General features: G+C 39.4%; 1 long non-coding RNA gene across 1 annotated transcript, besides 3 other annotated features; it reads right to left on the reverse strand.

Annotated features, from left to right (window-relative positions):
• Positions 1,188–1,763: an enhancer, noted in NCBI's record as "H3K27ac hESC enhancer chr4:120919455-120920030 (GRCh37/hg19 assembly coordinates)". NCBI's record gives its function as "activates a minimal SCP1, AML or CMV promoter by ChIP-STARR-seq in primed H9 embryonic stem cells {active_cell/tissue: H9 hESC(primed)}" and the evidence as "EXISTENCE:reporter gene assay evidence [ECO:0000049][PMID:30033119]".
• Positions 1,764–2,338: an enhancer, noted in NCBI's record as "OCT4-NANOG-H3K27ac hESC enhancer chr4:120920031-120920605 (GRCh37/hg19 assembly coordinates)". NCBI's record gives its function as "activates a minimal SCP1, AML or CMV promoter by ChIP-STARR-seq in naive and primed H9 embryonic stem cells {active_cell/tissue: H9 hESC(naive and primed)}" and the evidence as "EXISTENCE:reporter gene assay evidence [ECO:0000049][PMID:30033119]".
• Positions 2,339–2,913: an enhancer, noted in NCBI's record as "OCT4-NANOG-H3K27ac hESC enhancer chr4:120920606-120921180 (GRCh37/hg19 assembly coordinates)". NCBI's record gives its function as "activates a minimal SCP1, AML or CMV promoter by ChIP-STARR-seq in primed H9 embryonic stem cells {active_cell/tissue: H9 hESC(primed)}" and the evidence as "EXISTENCE:reporter gene assay evidence [ECO:0000049][PMID:30033119]".
• Positions 8,832–10,601, reverse strand: LOC124900769 (uncharacterized). The gene is made up of 2 exons (XR_007058252.1): positions 10,519–10,601; positions 8,832–9,324 (listed from the first exon to the last, which is right to left on the reverse strand). It is a non-coding gene; the product is annotated as an uncharacterized LOC124900769 (long non-coding RNA).
• Between the last annotated feature and the right edge of the window lie 6,080 nt (positions 10,602–16,681).

Raw genomic sequence — 16,681 nt, forward strand, 5'->3', positions numbered from 1 at the left:
CGTACACTCTTTTGTCCTCAATACCTTCCTCCACAACTCACTATTCCGTGCTTGATCTTAAAGATGCTTTTTTCACTATTCCCCTGCACCCCTTGTCCCAGCCTCTCTTTGCTTTCACTTAGACTGACCCTGACACCCATCGAGCTCAGCAAATTACCTAGGCTATTCGGCCGCAAAGCTTCACAGACAGCCCCCATTACTTCAATCAAGCCCAAATTTCTTCCTCATCTGTTACCTATCTTGGCATAATTCTCAAAAAAACACACGTGCTCTCCCTGCCAATTGTGTCCAACTGATCTCTCAAACCCCAGCACCTTCTACAAAACAACAACTCCTTTCTTTCCTAGGCATGGTTAGCGCGGTCAGAATTCTTACACAAGAGCCAGGACCACACCCTGTAGCCTTTCTGTCCAAACTTGACCTTACTGTTTTAGCCTAGACCTCAGGTCTGTGTGCAGCGGCTGCCGCTGCTTTAATACTTTTAGAGGCCCTCAAAATCACAAACTATGCTCAACTCACTCTCTATAGTTCTCATAACTTCCAAAATCTATTTTCTTCCTCATACCTGATGCATATACTTTCTGCTCCGCAGCTCCTTCAGCTGTACTCACTCTTTGTTGAGTCTCCCACAATTACTGTTGTTCCTGGCCCAGACTTCAATCCGGCCTCCCACATTATTCCTGATACCACACCTGACCCCCATGACTGTATCTCTCTGATCCACCTGACATTCACCCCATTTCCCCAAGTTTCCTTCTTTCCTGTTCCTCACCCTGATCACGCTTGATTTATTGATGGTGGTTCCACCAGGCCGAATCGCCACACACCAGAAAAGGCAGGTTATACTATAGTACTAGCCACTAGCCCGTCTCTTAGAACCTCTCATTTCCTTTCCATCGTGGAAATCTATCCTCAAAGAAATAACTTATCAGTGTTCCATCTGCTATTCTACTACTCCTCAGGGATTATTCAGGCCCCCTCCCTTCCCTACACATCAAGCTCAAGGATTTGCCCCCACCCAGGACTGGCAAATTAGCTTTACTCAACATGCCCTGAGTCAGATAACTAAAATACCTCTTAGTCTAGATAGATACTTTCACTGGATAGGTAGAGGCCTTTCCTACAGGGTCTGAGAAGGCCACTGCAGTCATTTCTTCCATTCTGTCAGACATAATTCCTCAGTTTAGCCTTCCCACCTCAATACAGTCTGATAACAGACGAGCCTTTATTAGTCAAATCAGCTAAGCAGTTTTTCAGGCTCTTAGTATTCAGTGAAACCTTTATATCCCTTACGGTCCTCCATCTTCAAGAAAAGTAGAATGGACTAAAGGTCTTTTAAAAACACACCTCACCAAGCTCAGCCACCAACTTAAAAAGGACTGGACAATACCTTTACCACTTTCCCTTCTCAGAATTCAGGCCTGTCCTCAGAATGCTACAAGGTACAGCCCATTTAAGCTCCTGTATGGACGCTCCTTTTTATTAGGCCCCAGTCTCATTCCAGACACCAGACCAACTTAGACTGCACCCCAAAAAACTTGTCATCCCTACTATCTTCTGTCTAGTCATACTCCTATTCACCGTTCTCAACTACTCATACATGCCCTGCTCTTGTTTACACTGCCGGTTTACACTGTTTCTCCAAGCCATCACAGCTAATATCTCCTGGTGCTATCCCCAAACTGCCACTCTTAACTCTTGAAGTAAATAAATAATCTTTGCTGGCAGGAATATGCTGAATCTCCTTAGGCACTCTCTAATCAGATATCCTGAGTCGTCCCAATTCTTAGACCTTTTATACCTGTTTTTCTCCTTCTGTTATTCCATTTAGTTTCTCAATTCATCCCAAACCGTATCTAGGCCATCACCAATCATTCTATAAGACAAATGTTTCTTCTAACATCCCCACAATATCACCCCTTACCACAAGACCTCCCTTCAGCTTAATCTCTCCCACTCTAGGTTCCCATGCCGCCCCTAATCCCGCTTGAAGCAGCCCTGAGAAACATCTCCCATTCTCTCTCCATACCACCCCCCAAAATTTTCGCCGCCCCAACACTTCAACACTATTTTGTTCTATTTTTCTTATTAATATAAGAAGGCAGGAATGTCAGGCCTCTGAGCCCAAGCCAAGCCATCCCCTGTGACTGGCACGTATATGTCCAGATGGCCTGAAGTAACTGAAGAATCACAAAAGAAGTGAATATGCCCTGCCCCACCTTAACTGATGACATTCCACCACAAAAGAAGTGTAAATGGCCGGTCCTTGCCTTAACTGATGACATTACCTTGTGAAAGTCCTTTTCCTGGTTCATCCTGGCTCAAAAAGCACCCCCACTGAGCACCTTGCGACCCCCACTCCTGCCCGCCAGAGAACAAACCCCCTTTGACTGTAATTTTCCTTTACCTACCCAAATCCTATAAAATGGCCCCACCCTTATCTCCCTTCGCTGACTCTCTTTTTGGACTCAGCCCGCCTGCACCCAGATGAAATAAACAGCCATGTTGCTCACACAAAGCCTGTTTGGTGGTCCCTTCACACGGACGCGCATGAAAAGTAATAGCATAGAAAAGTGGGGATTTACCTTCTTTAGAAAGTTTTAAATTTATCCTTTGTGGGGCACAGTATAATATAAAATGTTTAAATTGGGCAATTATCTAGATTATTTAATATGCAATTATTTTTCAAATTAGGAGTAGCATAAAGCACGGTTTAATCTTGGCCTAATCTTGACATCACAAAGCAGAAAATATAGCATGTTGATTATTTTTAGGTATCCAATTATACAAGCTTTTTGGGAAAGGTGGGGAACTGGACAAAACTTGCTAATAGTTGAAAGAGTAAGTACTAAATAGTCTTATTCACAAAGAAGCCATAGTATCTAGAAATGACATATAAAATAAGGAGTATTGTACATTTGTATTAGGTATTACTTAATTAAATACTGGGCAATAATCAAATGTTTCACTGCTGGCGCTTTTATGTTTTGTGATATTGGACACTAAGATCAAGATGGCCGAGATTTAACCTCATTCTTTTTAATCAAGAATTTTTGGAGATCCTTCCCTTACATTCTCAGCTATCGTTAGCCTTCTGAAAAAAGATTGAAAATAGAGTAAATTTGTAATTTACACCATATACCTTCGTTTTCTATACTTTTTCTCATTTTTTGGTCCTTCCTAGATTCCCTAATCCCACTGTGGACAATCCAAATTATTTCAGAACTCCCATGGAGCTCTGCTCTTTGCTGCAGAACTAATAGGGTGACGTTTATTAAGATACTGATAATCACGTATTACCTCCCAAATGGATTTGTAACTTAATGTTTGTGAAAATAATTCACAATATAGTTTCTCTTTTTCTGTTTTAGGAAATTATAACTCTCTTTTGACAATTTTATATTCCAGCATTTTGTTTTACTTGTCCAAGATGCTGTTTTCTTCTTTGAAAGGATTAAAAGCCAGCAAATTAATGCTGGCATTGAGGCCCAAGGCCAAAATGAAATCAGTGTTTTCATAGTACCAATAATATTATGGACAAATAAAGTATGAAACAGAAATGGAAAATGCAATCACCATTCACTACAGATCTTGAGAGTACTGGCTCATTTGGCAACGTGGAAAGAAGTGTAGAAAGGCAGTGCTCGGCGAAAGTCAGTGCCCAGTGCTTTCTGAACAAAAGGTGGCTTTTTGCATTACATACTCCATCCCCCAAAGACTTACAGGCTGCTTTTATGTAACTGAGTGTGTGTGCATATATATTCCACTCAATAAAGATATCATAGTAATTAATCCCCACCATCGATGAAAATTCGTTTTCTGACACAGGTAGCCTATGAGTGTTTTCCCTCTGTAATAAAATAAGATATCCATTTTATGTACCATTCCCCTGTTTTTGGAAACCTTTAATTTTAATTACAACAGTACATACAGACTGATTAATGATTACACAATCTTACTCCCAGCTGTGGTAAAGGCCACTATCAGCCAGTCTAATTGCCTTTGACTCACTCTAGATTACACTGTTGGGTCCTTTTACAGTTTATCAGTCCCTAGGATCTTTCTTTAAAATTAACAACTAAATTACCTTTCTCGAGGAGATACTGTGCTTGAATACCCTGAGGGGAAAACTATCATTTACTAAGTACAGTATTTCCATATGGCAAGAATCTCCTCTATGAGTTGCAACTGACAAATCGATGGAATCTCAGCTTTTCTTTACTTCCTTTTTTTCTATCTCCTTTTCACATTTCAGAGAATTCTGTATATCTTCCCAACTCAAAAACTCACAGATGCTTGCAAAGCATATTTTTTGCCTGTTGTATTTTGCAATTGTGGATAAGATAGTCTAAAATTCTTTTCACACAAATGCAAACATATTTAAAAGATTTTTCACAAAAATGCCATTATCCCCAAATACACCACATCAATATTTCCATTTTTTGGAGGCTGAATACATATATTATATTCCAGTATGTCCCTGTGAATAAATAAAGGCTAAGTCATGTTTTTAAAACACATTAAATTAGTCAAATTAATGTATTACCACTCACTGAAATTTTATATATGCTCTTCTACCTCTTCCATTTTAAAGTATACAGACATTACTAATCCATGTAAAATCTCTACATTCTTAGAAATGTGCACATATTTATTAATATATTTTTACCAAACATTGAGCAAGCCTTTAAAAGTAATATATTTTAAGTAACATTCTTAGAACAAAAAGTAAAAATAACCTAAAACAAATAACAAAATATAAGATATAGTCCTTTACCACAACAACTTTATTGTTCTGGACAATATATAAACATACTAATATATTCCTAGTGGTACAAAGCAGCATGTAAGCCATTGCCTACTGGGGTAGGGTGCTCATGTGTTCTATGGGAACAATTAATTTGAGCTGGAATGCTCAGGGAAAACATAGTGAAAAGAGCCCAAATAGCTTACCCTGTGTGTGGATATATAGAGACCAAGCGGACTGGAGGATTATAGTTAGAAAATAGAGTAAGTCTTGTTTAGGGAAGAGTAAAGTGTCTGACCTTTACTAAAGCAAAAGATCTACACTGGGAAATAGCAAAGTTAAAATTAGATCAAAAGAGCAGTTTGCATTGTGGAGGATCTTAAAAAGGACATTTTACTGGAAAAAAAAAAAAAGCAGAGATCCATTAGAGGTTTTGAGTTGGTAAATGAAATGGTAAAATCTGTGATTTAAGAAATAAATTTAGAGCAATATTTATTCATGTATGTTCTCAGGAATAGTAATTAATGGGGTTACTACAAAAGTGTCTGCAAGGTCAAATACATGTGAAAATAGAAAATACTGCGAGTTTTCTCTACGACTTTAAGATGTTAATAGATATTTTGACTCTCCTAAACAAAAACACAGGATTTTGCCAATGTGACCAGGGAACCCTTTCTAGGAAAACCATGCATGGATCAAGGATCCCATATGTAGTGGCACCAATCTAACTCTATAAACTGAGATATGTAAGAAATGTACTGTTCCACATTTTAAGTAGCTCATTTAATTTCTACTTTGATCCTTTCTTCTCAGATTGTAGAACCTCAAGATTTCTTCTTTTTCCCCATGAGGGTGTGTTCTGGAGTCTAATTGTGCCAAGGAATTAGAGAGTTGTAGAATAGTAGAGTGGCACTTATCTGGTCCTCTCTGTCATCTACATAAGTTGGCATCTGTGAGATGGTCTAACCACTATCCGGTCCCGAACAATTGGTCTGTACAACTGTTGCTGAGACATGTCTCATTCAAATCCACTGGTTCTCTTTACTTCCATACTATTCTTGGGCTGATGGAATAATTGTCCTGATTTGTTCTATGATGAGGTACAAGAAACTGTATGAATGTGCAGAGCTCCAAACTCACAAGCCACAAGAGCTCTTTTCTTCTCATATTTCTGCTATAACTTCTCTTCTTTGAGCTAAGGGCCCAATTACCATAAAGGAAGATGGATGGGAGCAAGAAATACCTGAGAAAAAAGTTTGTTATTATTTTAAAGATATTTCCTTCCACTCGGAATACTCTTTAGGAAATGCTAAAGAATGGAGGGTTATAAACTGATCAGTAAAAGGATGTGTGTAGTAGTGATGCTGCCTTGAGTTGTGATTATTATATGTGGCAGATTACACTAATAGCTCTCAATAGCAATGAATTACACTTTGTTTTATAGCTTTGTATTTTGTCTTTACATCCCTTGTGCCATCTCCTGCATTGACTCTAAGCTTGACCATGTGACTCTGGACATTGATCAACGTGACATTAGCAAATGTGAGGCAAACAGAGGCTTGAACAGCATTTACCCTTTCTTGCTGCTGTATACACTTCTTCCTCCAAACAAATAAGGCTGAGATGGCTTATTAAAGACATGAGGACCAAATGAGAGCAAACACTAACCAATAGACACATAAGTTAGCCTCAGTGGAGCTGCGAGCTGACTGACGATGCATGAGGACCCAGGTAAGACCAGAAGAAGAACTGCACAGCTGAGCCTCCACCAAAACTCTAATGTGAGTTATGAACAAATAAAATGGTTGCCTAGGATATCGAGTTGCAGAGTAATTTTTATTGCATCAGTAAATATATACACAATACAATACAATAAAATGTAGTACAACAGACTCCTGGTTTAAAAATGCCATGATAGATTCAAGCTGGCTTCACTCTCAGGAACCAAATGTGAGAATGCATTAGTTCTCAGAGCCACAAAGAAGTGAAAAACATCTGAGCAAATGGTAAGAATATTGGATTTTCATGTTTGTGATGACCCTCCCCAACCCCTAATCTATCTGGCACCAAAATGCAGAAAATTTCCCATGAATCATGGTTTCTACACTGAAAAACATGAGATTGAGGTGGACACCAGCTTCCTCATCATCTTGGGTTCCCTGGCAGGAGGCCAGTCTCTGCCTCACCCCACGGGAAGCATTAGGGTGCCTGAGGAAAGAAATATCCCTGAGGACAGTTGCAGACAAAGGGAGGAAGTGGGACTACTATCCCCAGCCCTAGAAACTCTGCTTTGTGACTCCACCAAAGCAGACGTTAAATCAGAGTCGTGGTTCAGCAGCACCACATTATAGGATGTATGTTGCACAGGGACCCTGGATACGAACCCTTAGCCAGTCTTTCCACGCAGCCTTAATATTCCCTTTAGGACTTTCCATGTTCAGGATAGGCAGTGCTCTGATTGCTTGCTAGAGCCAAGACAAACCTGGGCTTAAGGTGTCATCTAGTGCCAAAAAGAAGGCAACAATCTTGTGGGGAAAAAGAAATTTAACAGTCAAATTACAAAGAATCTCTAAGCAAGCATACTGAATATAAGCCAAAACAAGACGGAGAAGATTAGAATACATAACCAATCCATCAATGCAAAGGCACAGACATACATCCACAAGAAACAGCAGCAAACAGGGAATCATGACCTCTCCAAATGAACAAAGCAAGGAACCAGTGACTGACCCTAATGAGATGGTGATATGTGAGCTTTCTGATCAAGAATGCAAAATAGCAATTTTAAGCAAACTCATTAATCTCTAAGATAGCACAGAAAAGCTACTTAAAACTTACCAATAAATTTCACGAAGATATTGAAATGATTTTAAAAAAATCAAAGAGAAATCCTGAAACAGAGAAATACATTTATATTTGCTGAACTGAAAAATTCACTACAGGCTCTCAACAGTGGAATGAATCAAGCAAAGAAAAGAATCAGTGGGCTCAAAGACAGACGATTTGAAATTATGCAGTCAGAGGTGAAAAAAAACCAAAACAGAATACAAAGGAATGAAAATCATCTACAAGACAAAATTACCTCAAAAGACCAAATCTAAGAAATATTGCTGCCCAAGAAGTAGTGAAGCAAAAGTAAGGTGTAGAAAGCCTTAATCAAAGAAATAACAAAAAATTTCCCAAACTTGAGAAAGATCTGAGTATTAGGTACAGAAAAGTGAGAAAACACCAAACATATTTGACCCACACAAGACAACCCCAAGACACACAATAATTAAACTCTCAAAAGTCAAGGACAAAGAGAGGATGTTAAAAGCAGCAAGAGAAAAGAAGCAAATAACATAGAAAAGAGCTCCAATTTATCTGGCAACAGAGTGACAATGGAATCCATACAGGCCAGGAGGGAGTGAGAAGACATTTGCGAAGTGCTGAAAGAAAAAAACAATGGAGCTTGAGAACGAGATGACTAATAGCAATGACTTGGAAAAGTAAGAAATTCAACAGCCAAATTACAAAAAAATCTCTTTGCCAATATGAAAGAGAAAAATATCCCTGAACAGAGAAATATCAGGGTGTGGCACCCTGAATATCAGTTGTGAGCCCCAATGATGATGTATATTCCACCTATCTTGATTATATTTTAGGAATGTATCAAATCATCACATAATGAGATAGTTTGAGTATTTGTTCACTCCAAATCTCTTTTTGATACCTGATCTGAAATGTGATAGGTGTGGCTAAGTGGGAGGTGTTTGGGTCATGGGGGTGGATCCCTCATGAATGGCTTGGTGCCCTCCCCAAAGTAATGAGTGAGGGCTTGCTCTATTAGTTCACAGGAAAACTGATGGCTTAAAGTGTCTGGCATTTCCTCCCATCTCTCTTGCTTCCTCTCTTGCCATGTGACCCACCTGCTCTCCCTTCACTTTCTGCCATGTGTAAGAGCTTCCTAAGTCCCTCACCAGAAGCAAATGCTGATGCCATGCTTCTTGTAAAATCTGCACAACCTTAAGCCAAATAAAATTCTTTTATTTATAAATGACCACACCTCAGGTATTGTTTTATAGCAACACCAAACAGACTAATATGCATATACACAATATGTGCATTTATTATTAATAATAATAAAGTAATACAACATGGAAGAAATGGGAAGATAGAAAATCATGTGGGAATATTTTCTCAAACATAGATGCATGGGATTAGGAAGAGGAAAGTTCAAATGGGAGGAGCTGGGATCTTGGAATGTCCTCATTCAGTGAGCACAGTGAAGGAGGAGCAGGTGACCTTCTCAGCAGATGACCTGTGAGCCAACCTTATGAAGAATGAGCAGATGGAGTCCTGGGTCCTGCATCATTGTGCTTGGGGCTTGCCCTGGACTCCAGGACAGCCACTGCCTAAGCATCTCTCATGACTCCTGGCATCCCCACTCACTGTTTCTCATCAAAACCAACTGAATTTTTCAAGGTACCTGAAGCATCACTGTTGTCACAAGTCATTGAGCTCTTCTCCAAGAGGGAAGTGATGTCTTCTCCAAATATGCTGAGGCAGTTTTCAATGAGAAATTGTACAATAGAAACCTGTAACACAAAAGGGAAAAATAGGGTGCTCTTTTCATTTGGCATAGCTATAAGTCATATTTCATCTATGAATCTTGGAGTGAAAAAACATGAAATTCAGAATTCTAAGAAAAAATCAGAGTAGATGTAGAAAGATATGAACCAGTTTTCTCTAAGAAAAAACTACGATCTTTTCAACAGCATTTAGGGCACGTATCTTAAAATACTTATAATCAGTGGGCTAAAGTTATAATTTATAGCTTAGCTTAATAGCTAACATTTTATATCGATGGTCACATCCTTAAAAATAGGATAATTTTCAAGCAACTCATATATGATGTTTGGGGTAAGGATATATATTCTCTAAATTTATAAAGCACCCAATGGATAAAAACTTGTGAAATTCACTTGTTAAGTATTTTAAACTTGGGAAGCAGACATTCTCTGAGGGTCTTTTGTGAAGGAAGGAGGCAGCTGGAGAGAAAATCTCTGCTCTTCTAAGTGCAGTACCTCTCCATGCATTGCCTGGCCTCAGGATTGCTCTCTGGGTGATCTTCGGAGAGAGCTGGGGTCTTTTTATTAGGTACATTGTAGCTCCATTAGGATATTCTAGAATGTTTTACTAGTTTTCTCATTCGAGTGGCAGAGACAAAATAGTAGCCAAGTAGTTCCCTGAATGCCAATTGTGAGCCCCGATTGACAGAGAAAGGCAATATGTGTGGAGCCATGAGTGTTCATATTATCCAAACCACCAAAGAAGTGTCAGTAATGACCAGAGGAGCTGGGCCTTATCACTACTGCCATTGTTGAGATGAGGAAATCTTGGCTTGGAATCGTTGCCCCAGGTTACACATCCCTCAGTGATGAGACTGAGAGTTGAATCTTAGCTTGTCAAACTCCAAAGAACAGATTTTTTTTTCTATTACGTCACACCACTTTCTTATCTCTCTGTGGTATAGTCAATCTAGTGTTTTCTCTCCTAGATGGGAAAGGAGAAGTGACTCACTGCTCTCAATTTCCTATTTAATAACCTACCTTCTCATACACCTTCTACCTTCTACAATCCCTAGAATAGTATTAATGAAACTGCCACTTCAGAAGTGTAATTAAAGTGTGCGTCTTAAAAAAAGTGGTTCCTTTGAGTTAATATCCTGAATTTCAGGTTCAAAGTGAGGACTCTGTTCCCCAGGGAATAAAAATGAGAGATCTCATTACCTTTTTGGTGAACTCATTTACCACTTCTGAGCTGCAGGGAGTAGGCAGGAAAATGCTTGAGGCTATACACGCAGATAAATTATAAGCTGTCATCTGATTGGCTGAGGAATGCTGCTCAATGTTATGTAACACGCCAAAAAGGCATCACAAGAGAACAACATTGGCCTTTGGCAGCTGGTCTAAAAGCCTAAACACAAAAATATGCACTCTCAAAGCCAGGAATTTTACTCAGGAAGTTGTAAATACAGAGAAATAAAGCAAGTTTTTTTTTTCATATAGTATTTACATAACTCAGTGAAAATACAAAAGAATAGAGAAATATGTTCTTCATATGTAGTAAGACAGCATTTTAAAATGTGTCTTAGGAGATATATCAGAAAATATTTCCTTGTAACCACTACAGTGTTTCCAGTACTTAAGCATAAAAAGGATAAAAATTCCACTTCTGTTAAGATTAAAGGATTACTATATGCCAAAGGATGAATTTTATCAATTCACGGGAGATATTTTGAGTTTTAAGACTGAGTAGTGTAAGATGAAGACATAATTACAGGAGATTTGGGACTAGTGTGGAGTTGAAGAAAGGAGCTGAAATGAGGATGCGAAGGGAAGGGGAAGTCCCAGAGATTCATAACAGAGAGCCCATTTTGATTCATCCAAGCCCGCGTACATGGGTCTTGGCTGAAACCATCGAAAGAGTATCTTTCCCTATTGTCTTTGCCTTATGATCCTGCAGCATCTAAATCATATTTCTAGTCACTGAAGTAAAATTGACAAATCTTCTCTATCAAAGCTAGGGTTCATCATTGTCTAAAGATTTCTCCACTTTGCGATAGATTTGGATGAAAACACTTGACTCCCCCAGAGTTCTCTCTCTTCAAGAGGGCTACCAAAAAGAAGACCAGACAAAATGAGACCTACTAGCAGAGGGGCAGGCAGCTTGTCATTCTCACAAACATCCGTGGGAGAAGCTCCAAACAGCTGTCCTGGGTTTGGGGCAGGTGGAGCCATTCACAGGTTGTCTTGGCAAGGGCTAGAAGCCCACCAAAAGGCCCAGTTTATCATAGAACATCTTCTTTTAACTCCCTTCTGGTCTGAATACATAAGTAAAAAGTGAGATTATTTGATGTAGTAGTTTAATCCGCTTAACTTTATTTTCACTATTTCCATTTTACAACATGTTTGTTGTGATGTTGAGAAGAGAAACAATCATTTGTTGTGTAGATTTTCCCACATTCTGAAATTGGCTAACTGCATACTTGGCGTTAATGTGTTATTCTTCCCTATATCCCATAGACTGCAGTTAAACCTGGAGGCTTGATCAGACTTATGTTCCATTCTTCCAGTAGGAATACTTCCTAGACAGTACTAGTTACCACCTCTTGCATTCTATCATAAGGTACTTAAGATCTAGTTGTTCAAGTTTACTGATATTAATTGTAATCAGTGGAGTCACATGTCAGATCCCACTTTAAAACCTAAAAATAGCCAGCATGGTGGCTCATGCCTGTAATCCCAGCTACTCAAAAGGCTGAGTCAGGAGAATTGCTTGAGCCCAGTAGTTAGAGTCTGCAGGAAGCTGTGATGGCGCCACGACCCTTTGGCTTGTGTGACAGGGAGACCCAGTCTCTACGAGAAAATAAAAAGTTAAAAATACTGGATATTCAAATAAAGTAGAGCTCAGTAATTATCTACTTTCGTAGTATGTCTCCTGCCACTCAGATTTCCTGTTGGACTTTCCGAATACTCAACCATGGCCAACTCTCTCCCATCAAAAGGATCCTGTCCTTCATGACACAACCTGCCTGACCCCACTTCTCAGTCAGCCTCTGGCTTCTTTGTTTTGGAGGCTGCAACTGTTAGGCATCTCCATGGATGACTTGAGTCCACTTTCTCTAGTCAGTCCTTGGTTCTGTGGTAAGATCCCTAGTGGCCCTGGTCCTTGTGACACCCTGACCAGCTATCTAGAAATAATTTTTACCTACCCAACGACCCTACCAAAGAAATGCTGAAGAAGAGCTTCTCAAGGAAAAGTGATCAGCAATAAAAGGTTGAGTTGAATGTTCCCACTGCTCAACTATAGGTGTTTTCCTAACAAGGTACTTTAATATTCTTATAAATAACCTCCTTATACCACGTACTGAAAAAGTCAACAGAGGAGGCAAGTTGTAGAATGATAAACAAATGAGCAACATTTCACCATTTCAATGTTTCTTAAACACCCATCCACTTGGCTTCCCTGGGACATCGAGTGCATCTCTCTGTACACACACATAGTGGCAATACTCATGCTGACTCACAGAGGTCAGGATGGGCTCCTGGTTCTGCTATGTAGTCAGACAACTTCCTCAGAAGTCTTTGAGCTTCAGTTTGCTCAACTTTAGCATGAATGATGCTACCTACAGCTTACTGGACTGAGTAATAGAATGGACTGCTCAGGACAAACCATGGTTCAGAGCAGTCTTGATAAAAGTAATTTTATCCCTCATTCAGATGGCCTAAGGCAGACTAGACATCAGTCTCCTCCCCCCAGAACAGATCCCACCACCATTCTCCATTTGGTTTTGCAAGGTATGCAGTCACAAAGGCATGCCACCACCCTACCTAACAGTCATGCCCCTGTTGTTTTAAAAGAAGGTAAGGAAGAAGCAAAGTCATCCTTCAATCCAGAAGGATATATCTGTATGTCATCATGTGCAAATATTTATTATAGTACACATTAATATATAGGTTAAGTTGTTGTACATAACCTGGTTTCCCTATTCTTAATTTGATTTTATTTTTTCTAGAACTATCCAAATGTATTCAGTTATTTAGCTTTAATAAGAGAATGTTCTTAGGAAGAATTCTCTAACCCTTGATGCAAAGCTATATAACTAGCTACTCTCTGAATAAAGGCCAAGAGGAAAGTAGACATTGAATCCTGTACTTTCTCAAAAATATTTTCTGGCTTAGCTGCACCTTTCGTAATGCACATTATTTGGTGCAAGAGTTCCTATCACTTCTTTAAACAATAAAAGTATATGCTATTACCATGTAAAAGGCAAGATGATTAAACAAGCTAACTAGCCTTTCTTAAATAGCCCTGGAAGAATTGGGATAGTGGTTTCCGCAGGCTCAAATTAGGATATATATAAAACTTTTGAAACTTTCTGCCTATAGACTAACAGTCACAACAATAAAAATGCTTTATTTAGAAATTCCATTCTTGCCAAAATATTTCCCAAATTAATAACACATTTTCTTCAGAGAAAGAAATATCAATGGCAGGATACTGAAATGGTAGTGGGGAAAATGGCGAAAAGGGAGATAAAAAAGCCCACAATCATAAATGTTCATGCCAGTTCCAGTCTAAACCTGGATCTGAAGCCGACTTGGAAAGTAAGCGTGGTGGTGGGGAGAGAGTAGAATTGAGAGTCTAATTCAGGATAGAACCCAAGGGGCACTTCAGCCCCAGTCCAGAGTAGACTGCAGTTCAGTTCTATAACTGCTTCTCTCTAGATGTGCCACTCCAGATGTGTTTAAACCATGCCATCATTTGATCACCTCCTGCTTTGGGCTCAGCTCATCAGCAAAACCCTGGGATAGAAAATGCCTGAGTTTCCAGGCCTTCAAAAGCCATATTCTCACCAGACACACAGACTGCACACACATAATTATATGTGTAGATTGTTCTGAGGATACACAGAAGAGTGTATCTACCTACTTACACACATGAAAGAAATCTTCCTAGAAGTAAGTTGGGCCTTGACTTCAGACATTTCAGGTTTCTCTAAGTCTGATTCTGGACAGGTATTGGCTTCCTGCCTATACTGTCCTCCTTCCTCTGCATGGAGAACGTGTCTGTGTCATGGGCTTGGTTTTAGGAATGGAGACTTGATCTGAGAGAAGGCACTTGCAAGAAGGAAAGGCACTCACCACTCCCCTGCTGGCCTCTGGCTGGCTGCCTGGGCTTCAGAATGAACCCGCCTTCTATGTCTGGGGATGGCTGCTCCTGGAAGGGCTCCTGGAGTGTGGAAGAAGAGGTGGAGCACCCTGGTTCCTGTGGCAGGAGCATAGTGCCTTGAAGGTGGCTCATTTCAGTTCCACAGGGATGTTCATGTCCTGCCTGAAGCAAAATCTAAATACAGGTTCAGGCTGATGGTGATGGATGTGATCAAACCTACCTATTGTGGGTGAATGCACCCCACTGGTGCCTGCTGTAGTAATCTGGGAGCTTCTAGAATAAGGAAGTCTTGTCTCCCAAGCAAGCATCACGTGCACTCTCTCTGGAGAGTCCCCACATAAAGCAGGCATGCAAGCAGAAGAGTTTTTAAAAGTACAGAGAAAAATAAAGTTGGAACATGTTGTGTCACTTGGGATGCATAGATGCATCAGTGCCTTGCACAATGGTGACTTTTGCTCTGTTTCCATTTGAAGATATTTAAGAACTTCTAGTTTCTGTCTTGACAAATCTAGATATTTACATCTTAGACAAATGACCCCTTTACGCTTACAGTCATCATTTTAAATACTTACCCTTCCTATCATACAGACTTATGAAGATAAAAGTAAATACATTCCTTCACACTGGTGGTTAATATTTATTGAATAACTCCATATATACAGTATGTGTTAAATAATTCCATGTCAAGAATAGCTATGATCGCTATTCTCTTACACATGATGTCAGTTTAACGGAGATTTTACTTCCCTTAGTCAGTTTTGTAGCCAGGGCTTCTCAAGAGCAGAGGAGCAGGGTGTTTGCCTCTGACCTTTCCTCCCACTTCTGCCCTAATTGGAGGAAGGAGCTCCTCATAGGTACCAGACAGAGGGAAGGCTGCAGGGTGTTGGAAGTCCAGACACAACATGCAAAACAGTTTTTGCAGAATGGAAAACCACACTGCAATCATCAGGAGTTGCCTGCCAAGGGATGTGTTTTCCCCTTTCATGTTTTAAATAGTTTCCTTTCCATAGAATACGTGCTGTGAGGTAGTTTTTTTTCTTAATTATATGATCCATTATTTATTTTATTTATTTATTTTTATTTTTCCATAAGTTATTGGGGGTACAGGTGGTATTTGGTTACATGAGTAAGCTCTTTAGTGGTGATTTGTGAGATTTTGGTGCACCCTTCAACTTAGCAGTATAAACTGCACCATATTTGTAGTCTTTTATCTCTCATCCCCCTCCCACTCTTCCCCAAAAGTCCCCAAAGTTCATTGTATCATTCTTATACATTTACATCCACATAGCTTAGCTCCCACATATCAGTGAGAACATACGATGTTTGGTTTTCCATTCCTGAGTTACTTCACTTAGAATAATAGTCACCAATCTCATCCAGGTCACTGCAAATGCTGTTAATTCATTCCTTTCTATGGCTGCATAATATTCCATCATATATACATATATATATACATATGTGTGTATATGTGTGTGTGTGTGTGTGTGTGTGTGTGTGTATATATATATAAAATAGTTTCTTTATCCACTCATTGACTGATGGGCAATTGGGTTGGTTCCACAATTTTGCTATTGTGAATTGTGTTGCTATAAACATGTGTGGGCAAGTATCTTTTCCTCTGGGTAGATACCCAGTAGTGGGATTGCTGGCTCAAATGGTAGTTCCACTTTTAGTTCTTTAAGGAATCTCCACATTGTTTTCCACAGTGGCTGTACTAGTTTACATTCCCACCAGTAGTGTAGGAGTGTTCCCTGTTCACCACATCCACACCAACATCTACTGTTTTTTGATTTTTTTATTATGGCCATTCTTGCAGGAGTAAGGTGGTATCGCTTTGTGGTTTTGATTTGCGTTTCCCTGATCATTGGTGATGTTGAGCATTTTTTCATATATCTGTTGGCCATTTGTATATCTTCTTTTGAGAATTGTCTATTCATGTCCTTAGCTCACTTTTTGATGGGATTGTTTGTTTTTTTCTAACTGATTTGTTTGAGTTTGTTGTAGATTATGGGTATTAGCCTTTGTCAGATGTATAGATTGTGAAGATTTTTCCCCCACTCTATGGGTTGTCTGTTTATTCTGCTGACTGTTCCTTTTGCTGTGCAAAAGCTCTTTAGTTTAATTAGGTCCCAGTTATTTATCTCTATTTTTATTGCATTTGCTTTTGGGTTCTTAGTCATGAAATCCTTGCCTAAGCCAATATCTAGAAGGGTTTTT

The sequence above is a fragment of the Homo sapiens genome, chromosome 4 (genome assembly GCF_000001405.40).
Source record: "Homo sapiens chromosome 4, GRCh38.p14 Primary Assembly".
Taxonomy (NCBI): domain Eukaryota; kingdom Metazoa; phylum Chordata; class Mammalia; order Primates; family Hominidae; genus Homo; species Homo sapiens.